Source organism: Homo sapiens, chromosome 2 (genome assembly GCF_000001405.40).
Source record: "Homo sapiens chromosome 2, GRCh38.p14 Primary Assembly".
In the NCBI taxonomy this organism is placed as follows: domain Eukaryota; kingdom Metazoa; phylum Chordata; class Mammalia; order Primates; family Hominidae; genus Homo; species Homo sapiens.
In genome coordinates, this window is record NC_000002.12 from 1733754 (window position 1) to 1745398 (window position 11645).

An 11645-nucleotide genomic window follows, 5' to 3' on the forward strand; every position below is an offset into this window, starting at 1 on the left:
AAAAAAAAAAAAAAGCAGTGTCAGAGAAAATCACCAACTCAGAATATTACTCAGGAAAATATCATTCAAAAATTAAGGCAAGGTAAAGAAAGCACTGTTTAAACATCCAAAAGCTAAAGGAATCGATTACCAATAGAGCTGCACTATAAGACATTTTTTTTAGAGCTCTTGAAGTAAAAGGACTGAAATATGAACCTACGCAGAGGAATAAGCAGCACTGGAAAGAATAAAAACATGTCTCTGTTTATCTAAATCTCTAAAAAGATAACTGACAGCTTAAATGAAATAACAGAAGTACAGTGTGGAGTTTATAACATATGTACAAATAAAATGTAGGACAACAATATCACAAAACTTGGGGCCAGAGAGAAATATACCGCTCGGATATTTCAGGTTTGGGCCCAGATCACTGAAATAAGTTAAAAATTGCAAAAAAGTTATTCACATGAATGTTTTGGTCTCCCAGTACATACAAAAGTTCTATTTTCACTATAATATAGCTGATTAACTATGCAGTAGCATTACATCTAAAAAATATACATACTTTAAAAAATATTTTATTGCTAAAAAAATTTTATAAAACACCTGAGCCTTCAGAGAGTTTTCTTCTTTTGGCTGGTAGAGAACCTTGCTTTTATGTTGCTGGCTGCTGACGGATCAGGGTGGTGGCTGCTGAAGGCTGGGGTAGCTGCGGCAATTTCTGAAAATAAGACAACAATGATGTTTGCCATATCTATTGGCTCTTCCTTTCCCAAAAGGTTTCTCTGTAGTATGCGATGCTGTTTCATAGCTTTTTATCCACAGTAGAACTTCTTTCAAAATTGAAGTCAATCGGCCAGGCATGGTGGCTCACACCTCTAATCCCAGCACTTTGGGAGGCCAAGGCGGGCGGATCACGAGGTCAAGAGACTGAGACTGTTCTGGCCAACATGGTGAAACCCCGTCTCTCCTAAAAATACAAAAATTAGCTGGGCATGGTGGCGCATGGCTGTAATCTCAGCTACTCGGGAGGCTGAAGCAGGAAAATCACTTGAACCTGGGAGGCGGAGGTTGCAGTGAGGCAAGATTGTGCCACTGCACTCCAGCCTGGCAACAGAGTGAGACTCCATCTCTCAATAAATAAATAAATAAAAATAAAGGCTCACATTTGCCTATCCTATAAAAATGGGAGTCAAACCCTGCTACTGCTTTATCCACTAGGTTTAGGGAATATTCTAGATCCTGTGTTGTCATTTCAACAATGTTCACAGCATCTTCACCAGGAGTAGAATTCATCTCAAGAAGCCACTTTTTATGCTCATCCATAGACACAACTCCCCCTCTGTTCTAGTTTATCATGAAGTTGCAGCAATTCTCTCATATCTTCAGACTCCATTTCTAATTCTAGCTCTCTTGCTATTTCCACCACATCTGCTGTGACTTTCTCCACGAAGTCTCTGAACCCCTCAAAGCCATCCATGAGGGTTGGAATCAACTTCTTCTAAACTCCTGTACATGTTGATGTTTTGACCCCCCCATGAATCAAAAATGTTCTTAATGGTGTCTAAAATGATGACTCCTTTCCAGAAGGTTTTCAGTTGACTTTGCCCAGTTTAATCAGAGAAATCGCTATCTATAGCAGTTACAGTATTATGGAATGAATTTATTAAATAATAAGACTTGAAAGTCAAAATTAGTCCCTAATTCATGGGCTGCAGAATAGATGTTTTGTGTTAGCAGCCATGAAAACAACATTAATCCCCTTGCATTCTCCATCAGAGCTCTTGGGTGACGAGATGCATTGTAAACGAGCAGCAGTATTTTGAAAATAATCTTTTTTTCCGAGCAGTAGGTCTCAACAGTGAGCTTAAAATATTCAGAGAACCATGCGGCAAACAAATATGCTGTCATCCAGGCCTTGTTTTTCCATTGGTAGAGCAGAAACACAGTAGATTTGGCAGGGTCCTTAAGACCCTAGGGTTGGGGAATGGTAAATGAGCACTGGCTTCAGTTTAAAGTCACCAGCTGCATTAGCTCCTACCAAGAGTTCACCCTGTCCTTTGAAGCTTTGAAGCCAGGCAATGACTTCTCCTCTGTAGCTATGGAAGTCCTAGATGGCATCTTCTTCCCATAGAAGGCTGCTTTGTCCACATTAAAAATCTGTTGTTGAATGTGGCCACCTTAATCACTGATACTAGCTAGAACTTCTGGAGAACTTGCTGCAGCTTCTCCATCAGCATTTGATGCTTCACCTTGCACTTTTATCTTATGCAGTTGGCTTCTTTCCTTAAACCTCATGAACCAATCTCTGCTAGCTCCAAACGTTCCTTCTGCAGCTTCCTTAACTCTCTGCCTTTACAGAAATGAAGAGAGTTAGGGCCTTGCTCTGGATCAAACTTTGGCTGAGTGGAATGTTGTGGCTGGTTTGCTCTTCTTCCCAAACCACTAAAACTTCCTCCATAAACTAACTGATGCAAGAGACCTAGCTTTTGACTTATCTCAGCTTTTGACATGCCTTCCTCACTAAGCTTAATCATTTATAGCTTTTGATTTAAAGTAAGGGACATGCAACTCTTCCTTTCACTAGTACACTGAAAGGCCACTGTAGGGTTATCAACTGGCCTGATTTCAATACTGCTGTGTCTCAGGGAATAAGGCCTGGAAAGGGAGGAGAGATGGAGGGACGGCCAGTCAGTGGACAGTCAGAACACACACAACATTTAGATTAAGTTTGTAGTCTTACATGGGTGTGGTTTATAATACCCCAAAACAATTACAATAGTAACATAAAAGATCACTGATTACAAGCCAGCCACATGGCTCACAGCTGTAATCCCAGGGCTTCAAGAGGCCAAGGTGGGAGGACTGCTTGAAGCCAGGAGTTGAAGACCAGCCTGGGCAAATAGCAAGACTCCATCTCCACAAAATAAAAAATTAAAAAGAAATTTAAAAAAAAAAATCCAGGCATGGGGGCACGTGCCTATAGTCCCAGCTACTCAGGAGTAGCTAAAAGTAGGAGGCTAAGGCAGGAGGATTACTTGCACCTTGGAGGCGGATGTCAAAACTCAGCAAGCCTACTTTAAGTATGTGCCCTTTTAAAATGTCAATTATGTCTGATAAGAGTTTTGTTATCTCATGTGGACAAAGGTCAAATCAGGTAACAGTCACTGGTCAAGCCTCTCCTTCTGATTTAACTGTAGAACAAAAGACAGATGCTCCCGAAGGCTCCTCCTAAAGCCTCCAAAGCTCTGCAGGGCTCAGCATACAACAGCCCGGTAGGACAGAGTGTGTGGGGCTGACCGCAGCCTGCTTTCCCGTAAACACCCTGCCCTGGTGCTCCGGGCTGCTCAGACGTGCAGGGCATCTGGACAGGAGCAGGGCATGAACCCTGCTTTCCACGGGCAGATGACGCAGGAGGCAGTCAGATCTGGAATAAACAAGACACCAGAACACCCAAGGCCCTCAGACGCCCGGAGGACGGCTGCCATTCTTCACCTCGGGCCTCCGGGCTAGTCTCCTTGGAGTTCTGTGTCTCCCATCCTCTTAGCTTGAAACAGGAGGGAAAGCAACATCCTCCAGAATAAAGAAACCAATGAACACAGCAGTGATGACTGATCTCGTATCTACGCCAGGATAATCTAACCCACGAAACAGCGGACAGTCTACTCATGGTTTTTGTTCGTTTTTGTCAGCTTCAGTTTACATTGCATGAGTAATCATTCCACTGAGACATCTTTTAGATTTACTATTTTGCTGTGGCCTTTTGGATCTGAAGAGAAATTAGATGGGGAAAAACATAATGCCTATTCTTTTCTTTTTTTTTTTGAGATGGAGTCTTGCTCTGTCCCCCAAGCTGGAGTTCAGTGGCACGATCTCAACTCACTGCAACCTCTGCCTCCCAGGTTCAAGCGATTCTCCTACCTCAGCCTCCCGATAGCTGGAACTACAGGCGTGAGCCACCACGCCCGGCTAATTTTTGTATTTTTAGTAGAGATGGGGTTTTGCCATGTTGGGCAGGCTGGTCTTGAACTCCTGACCTCAGGTGATCTGCCCACCTCAGCCTCCCAAAGTGCTGGGATTACAGGTGTGAGCCTCCATGCCCCCCTTAATGCCTATTTTTCAAAATAAACTTTAAAACAAAGAAAACAAAAATTACTAGTGTTATGAATTTAGAAAAATATCTATCAACCAGTTATATTACTTTAGCATCAAAAGAAGCATGCAGCCACCCACTAACATATGTGTGCTAAGTCACATGCAGGTGGTCTGGCAGCAGGCAGAGTTTAACAATTCAACCATCCAGCCTTGATCCTGAGGAGCTACTGGCCCACATAGAGAGATACCACTAACATATAAAATGTCCTGATCGGCTATTTAAGCATCAAACATGGTAAAGTTGGTCTTCTCTTAAATTGAATTCCCTCAAAAAAGGTACTTTTAAATAAATCACATTTTCTTCTGAACCCCAAAAGCATATGGAACTATCACTATTAAAATAATTAGTAAACCTGGGCGTTGGGAAGTACGAGAGAGCTCACGTGTTGGTCACTAAAGACCAGAGGCCAGCATTAGCTTCTCAGCTCCAGGCCCTGAGTAGGAGCGGGGAAGATCTCTGTACTCCTGAGAGATCACTCGATTCCCAGCCCTGAGTTCCCCTCCCAGAGCACTGATGTGGGCCGGGCAGGACTGCATGCATTTGCATCTATTTTAGCTTCTTACTGTCAAGCGCAAAGGAAAAACACCTGGATTCTCCAATCAGAAAGGTATTTATCTCATAATAAGCCAATGGGAATCAGCATAATGCAAGTTGATCTTCAAACTTTTTTTTTTTTTTGAGACTAGGTCTCGCTCTGTCACCCAGGCTGCAGTGCAGTGGCATGATCCCATCTCACTACAACCTCCGCCTCCCAGGCTCAAGCGATTCTCATGCCTCAGCCTCCCGAGTAGCTGTGACCACAGGTGTGCACCACCAGGCCCAGCTAATTGTATTTCTGGTAGAGAAGGGGTTTCGCCATGTAGCTCAGGCTGGCCTTCGAACTCCCGAGCTCAGGCAATCTGCCCGCCTTGGCCTCCCAAAGTGCTGGGATTACAGCCATCAGCCACCACACCCAGCCTGATCTTCCAACTCTTACCCAGCTTTGAGATTCATGACGTCTGCCCTGCAGACTGGAATTCTGTCTTTGTTCTGTTTACAGACTTAATTTTGAACCCTGGATCTGTGCCACGGAGGCTGCTGCCCGGACAATGCAACACCCACTTCGCTTAAAAAGGCCCAAGTTTTACCCCAGGTAAGGGGCCCTCATCAGCTTCTGGCCAGTGTGTTCCGGGAAGATCAGATGCCTTCCATGGCCCCGGAAGGTAGTCATGCGCTCCAGACCCAGTGGCAAGGCCTCCTGTCCACTCATGGACGTCTTGAAAACTGGCGTGCCACACAGACCATCTGGTCCGTTAAGACAATTCCCCAAACTTCTGCTTGTGCACTGAGTCACGCATTCTCTTTTCACCGGACTTAGCTCTGTCGGAAGGGAACTATACAGCTGCCAATCATCAGCAACTAGGGAAACTGAGTCAGAACAACAGAGAAGCAAGCCAAGTCACCCACGCTGGGGAGAAAACGATAGAATATCACAGCATGTCGACCCTGGATCAAGCCACGCTTGAACCTGGAGCTGCCCCTGGATTCAGAGTCATAGAGAAGGATATGCTTTCTTTTTACAACTATTTCCTTGACATATGAAAAAACACAGAGGAGGAAGGCAAGATCTAACAATAGAAGAGCTCAATTACTCTGACTTCCTAACAAGAGAAAGCACTTTCCAGACACGTGGCACTCATGTAGTCACATACTAGTTTTCAAAGGTTAAAGTCATGGTGAGAGCCTAAGGGTCTCACATACTCCCTGGATGGCAAACTGGACATCCCAGGAAAGGTCCCAACACACACTGTCTTGGGGATGGGCCCTCTCTAAGCTTATTTTGAACACTGAAGATTTTCCTCTTCTGGCCACAGAACACAGAGAGCTCTGAAGATCAGCCGCCTCCCAGGCTCCCACGCTGAGAAAATGTTTGGTCCGCCCACCACCTTGCAAAGATAAATTATCAACATCTAAATGTTTTAAGTATCTCTATGGTACTTTTCAAATGTATTTGCGTGGCAATAATAAAGTCTTTGACTCTGTTGTGCCAACAAACATGAGCATCATCTGTTCTATGGAAGGCAAACACTGACACTAGCACCTGCAGGACTGTCCCAGCAGACGCATCTGCACATCCCGCATAGGGCGGAGAGGCCCCAGGCTCCCACTCACACCCGGGACCACTGCAGTCTCCTGCCCAAAGGAGGAGAGGCCTGGCGTCCCGGGACCGCGGGTACTCCCAGAAGACGCAGTCAGATGTGAGGGAACTTCCCGGGAGCAGGAGGGTGCAGAGGAGGAGGAGGGCATGGGAAGTGCTGAGGGTGGACAGCCAGGGAGTCCCCGGCAGGCGGGCCCCTCTGCAGCACCAGCCAGCCGGCTCCCTGAGTGCCAGGCAACAAACACCCTGTGACCTCTATCTGCGTGTGAGGAGGAGAGGTCCTCTCCGAAAGGCAGCCAGTTCTCCAAGGGAGGTCAGGGAAGCTCCAAGGATGAACCTCGGGACCCATGTGACTCACTCAGGCGACGCAGTCTCCTAGACACAGGAAGTCAGTTAAAAGGCCCAAACACCCACTCCCACCTATGGACTATGAGCCCATAGACTCCCAGAGCCCCCAGAGGGCCTGGGGGGCCTGCAGGCGGGAGGAGACCCACAGAGCAGCAACACTGGAACCTTCTGCTCATGTGAACACAGGCCGGGAGGTGGGCTGGTCCACTCAGTCCAGACCACCAAGAGTGCAGGGTCCCAAGCACTGTGCGCCCTTTCCCCATACCCCGTCCCACCAGGACTGCACACACCTGGGGTCATCTTACCACTCCCAGGAAGCCCCCTGACTCTCTGGGGGCCCCACTGGACTGGGGATTCCATGAGGGCAAGATTCCGGTCTCGTTTTCTGTGGGTGGCCCAACACCCAGCACACGGCGTGGGCCTAACACCCAGCAGATGGTGAGAAAAACTGAGAATGAGGAGCAGCTGTCTGGAGATTCTGCAGGAGAGGAGGCCCCGCCCTGGCTGCCATGCGCCTGCCTGTGGTTTCTCTGCAATGCGACCTCCCTGAGCCCACCCCAAGCTCCACATGCCCAGACCCCTCCAATGTCAGGGTTTCTGTCACAGAACTGCAGTTTGGGACAACTCATGGCTTTGCAGCGGCCTGGACTGTGGTGAGGATGTTAGTTTTGATGAATCCATGACCATAGCCTCAACCGTGGCGGCTCCAGGGAAGAGAGGAAGGCAGGACAGGAGGAGGGCGTGGAGGGCCTAGCTCCAGTGTGTCCAGCCAGCACCCTAGCGGCGTGACCGTGAAGAAGAATGTTTCAAATGTGACCTCCCCAAAAAGCCTGGGGTTGAGAGGAGGAAAGGAAGGGGCGTACAACGGCATACTTTATCTTTAATACTAGCTTTGAACTACCATTGTGATGAACTTCTATTGTGTTGGGTACAGAATGATTCTGTATTCAAAAACCAACCATTTCTACACAGCTGAACTAAGTAAGGCCTCCAGAGGGGAGGCGCTCTGCAGGAGACCCAACAGCAAGGCCAAACCGCCGACCGAGCAGCACAGGGCGCGGGCTCCTGCCATTCCAGAGCTCCCTTCACACTTGCAGCTGAGGGAGCTCAAAGGTCGATCCAAACTGAGTCATGGATGGGCTTATTCCACTGTTTTCCAAAGCCCCCAAGCCACAAATCAAACAACCCAGTATCAGACCCGCTTAAACACACTCCTGGAGCATTTGAGGGGAAGGAGCAATAAGATGTTTTCCAATGGCTCTGATTTAATCTTTTGGGGGACTGGGATGGAGGTGAGTCTCTAAAAGCAAAGGGACGGTGTGATGGTTGGATGAGCCAACTAACTTTGGGGCAGGTTTTTTTTTAAATTTTCATATATAGTATATTCCCAATTTCTACCAAAAAATTGTAATAGAAAATAATCACATATACATGAGAGCACAGTCCTGGGAGAAAGCCGAAAGTGGACATGAAATGTTGCTTCACGTGTAGCATGTATCATGTAGAACTGTGTCATCTCAAGCAACAGCCTACCAGACCATGCCCCCAGAGACCCCTCAACAGGATATCCCCGCAGAATAGGTCTCCCTCTTCCCTCAGTCCCTGCCTCCCCAGGCTGCACTCACTAGCGCTCGCTCATGACACCTGTCCACTGTGCCTAGGTCCGCACAGCTACACCCTCACGTTCTCCCAGGAGACACGGGACTTGCTAAAAATCACGCGGCTGCAATGCATCCAGCCAGGACTCCATTCTGGCCACCAGCGCTACGCTCCTCCTCTTGGCCACAGGAATAGCGTCAGGAGCTGCGCTTCTCTCCCAGAGCTTCTGTTTCCACCGCCAGAAAATGGGTATGTTCATTTCTCCAGTAAAGTGTTTAGTTCTATAAGGGATTCGATCAACTTAACAGCTACCAGTCTACCTGCCTCACAGAATCAACGTGACTCAACAGCGACATTTCGAAGTATCACTGAAGACTGCAAAAACCCCTGAAAGTTTAAGATAGAAATGGATGCAAATGTACCCTATGAGGAAGTGTTGTGCGAGTGGACGATGATGTCACCCGTCTACTCTCAGCTCCTTTTTCAAATTCGGTGAGGCGTTTGTGGACGAGCACACCATGCAAAGCGGAGCAGAGGACCCCATGTGTGTCCTACGACACTTATTTTAACATGTTATTTTCAACAAGCAATTAATATTCCGGGGCAAAACATACCGCAAGCTTTATGAAACTGACCAGATGGGAAAAATCTTTGAGGTGCCATTTTTCCACTGGCTCAGCAAGAATTACATTATCCAGACCCAGGGAAACCTCACCCGGCTCCATTCTAAAAGTCCACTGCTGTTGAGTGAGATGCCCCCGAGTCGTCCGGCCTGGGCTGACCATTCACGGGCTCTGGAAAGAAAGCCTTGGTCTCTCTGCGGAGGAGGAGAGGAACTCGGGCCCCCGCCCCGCCCCAGGGCCTCCAGGAAGCAGCCTGCAAACTCGGCGACCCCTGGGAGCCGTGGTCTGTCCCAGCACTTTGTTTCGGAGGTAGGCGCACTGGCCGCCCACTTCCTGAATTGTTCACTCAATTTTTTTACAACTTTTGCAGACTCTTTGCTGGTGCCAAAAAGTCCTCTGGCTCAGCTAAGAAACGTGAAAACTATTTTTGGCATGCAGAAAAGTCGCTACAGGACTAAATTAGAGTCGGCGCCTGAAACGCAGCCCGCGTTCACAGATCCCGAAAATGTTGAATCCGACTCGCTTCAGAACACAGGAGGCCTGCAGCGAACTCTGGCGGCATCTCGGTACCTGGAGCCGCGGGGCGGAGGGATGGGGATTCCTGCTGTGGAGACCGTGACGCGGGACGGCCCGCAGGACAGGGTGTCAACCCCAACGCAACGCATCCGGTTAAACGTATAGCGCAACTGCGAACACGCTCGCGTGGATTAGAAGCGAAAGAAGAGAAATGCCCGAGGCAGAAACCCGCTCTGAGTCCCGGCTCCATCTAGACCCGGGCTGCCCCGAGACTACCGCGCGGCCCCTCTCGGGAACCCCGGCCGCCCGGCTCGCTCCGGGCGCAGGAAAAGCCCCTGAGAAGCGCGGGGCCCCCAGGACACCCCAGGAGAGGACGCTCCGGGCAGATGCGGGGGCACTGGGAGCGGGGGCGCCGCGGCTGCGGGAACTGAGGCTCCTCTGGGGAGGCTTCCCCGGCGCGGGGGGATGGGGTGGGCACTGCGCTCCAAGGGGCGGGGGAGGGGGAGAGGGCGGAGGCTGGGGGAGGAGAAGGAAGGGGGGGAGGAGGAGGGGAAGGGAGGAGGAGGAGGAAGGGGAGGAGGAGGAGGAAGGGGAGGAGGAGGAGGAAGGGGAGGAGGAAGAGGAGCGGAGGAGGGGAGCGAACAGGACGAGGAACGGGGCGGAGGGGGCTGGGAGGACGGAGGGGGCTGCGCCGCGCTCGGGGAGCGGAGGGGGACCGAGGGGTCCTGAGCGGGGGAAAGGTGAGCGGAGGAGGGGCCGCGAACCAGGGGGAAGCGGGAGGCCGGCGGAGCATGAGAGGGGGCGGCGGGAGGCGAGCGGGGGGAGCCCCGGAGGCTCCAACAACTTCCCAGTCCTGCGGGGATTCCGAGTTCCGAACAAAGGCGGCTACGAAGGCCGCGCGCACAGCGCTCTGTTCCGCCCCTCGGCGTCTCCCGCAGGGCGAACAAAGGCCCAGCGGGTCCCCGCGCCCAGGTCCCCCCACGTCCCCCTTCGGAGGTTCCCTTCTGCGTCCCAAGTCCCCAGGCCCCCCGCGCGCCCGATGCCCCCTCCACCCTCCGCGCCCCCCACCTCCGATCACCCCTGCGCTCCCGGATCTCCACGAAGCCCCGGACCCCGCGCCCCCGGCGTCCCCCGCGGCACTCACAGGATGGAGGTCTGCGGCGCCACGGCGGGCACGGCCTCCAGCAGCAGATGCATGCAGCGCACGGTGGTGCGGAAGCACAGGCAGCGGCTCGGACACCCTGCGCCCGGCTTCTGGGCCACCACGGCCAGCGTCCCCCAGGCGCAGAACAGCACGAGCGCCAACAGGCAGCGGCGCCCGGGGCCCCTGGAGCGCTTGGCCATGGCCGACGGCGCGGACGGACGCTCGGACGCACGGAGCCACCACGGCCGGCTCCCGACTGCGCCCGCCCGGCCGCGGCCCACGTCCCAGCTGTGCGCGGGGGGCGGGGGGCGCCAGCTGTGCACATGCGCGAGGCTCCTCCCGGCCCCTCTGAATCCCCGAGGGCGGGGCGGGGCGAGAACCCGGGGCCCCAGCGTCCGGCCTGAGCGCCCTCATCCCGGTGGGGCGGCCCGCATGGCCAAGGCGAGCGCTCGGGGGCGCGGAGGAGAGCATTGGCACCCCTGATTCTGCGCTCGAGACTCGGGGCTCGGGACCCTGGGGCCTACGCGAAGCTTCTCCACTTCTCTTACCCGTGGTTTCTGCCTGCGCTCACTACGGGTTTTTTAGTTGGCGCCTTAATGTTTGTAACACTTTTAGAGCGCTTGCTCTGATCCGGGCACGATTCCAGGCGCGCAGGCGCGCTCCTCTCTTTCTCCTTCTCCCTACCCGCAACCACGTAGGAAATTATTTAACGTTCCAAAAAAGCCCCTCATTCCTTTTGAGGAAACTGAGGCCCAAGCCCCAAAGCGCACAGCAAGGGAGTCTGCGGGAAGATTAGACCCAGGCGGTCCGGCTCCCCGGGGCCTGTCAGCCACCTGCTCTCTGCCGGCCGCCTGGCTCAGCACAGTTGGGAAAATGAAAGGTCCTGTGTGGAGTCCTTGGCGCGGCGCAATGCAGCCCCCGGGATTCTCGCGGCCTTCAGTGCGTGCCCTCCTGGGACAGACCTAGGAGGAGACCCAGGGAACCCCCCCCCCCCACGTCGGGTGTGTCTAGAGACAGCAGAAGACTTTGGAAAGGAGGGAAGACACTGCGTGAGATACGCACAAAGGTGGCGTTCTCACATAGTTCATACATTCTCTCCAATCATCTCACAAGGACCCAGTCTGAATTTCACAGACAAGGAAG

General features: G+C 51.8%; 1 protein-coding gene across 4 annotated transcripts in view; it reads right to left on the reverse strand.

Moving 5' to 3' along the window:
• PXDN (peroxidasin) overlaps positions 1-11148 on the reverse strand; it is a 113015-nt gene extending 101867 nt beyond the window's left edge. For 2 of the 4 annotated variants that reach the window (XM_005264707.4, NM_012293.3), the window contains exon 1: positions 10503-10762. In XM_005264707.4, the coding sequence (XP_005264764.1) occupies positions 10503-10702 (200 nt within the window). In that variant the 5' untranslated portion in view covers positions 10703-10762. Of the gene's footprint in view, positions 1-10502; positions 10763-11050 lie in introns of those variants that run through there. The other 2 variants (XM_011510396.2, XM_047445789.1) reach the window with 2 other exon arrangements.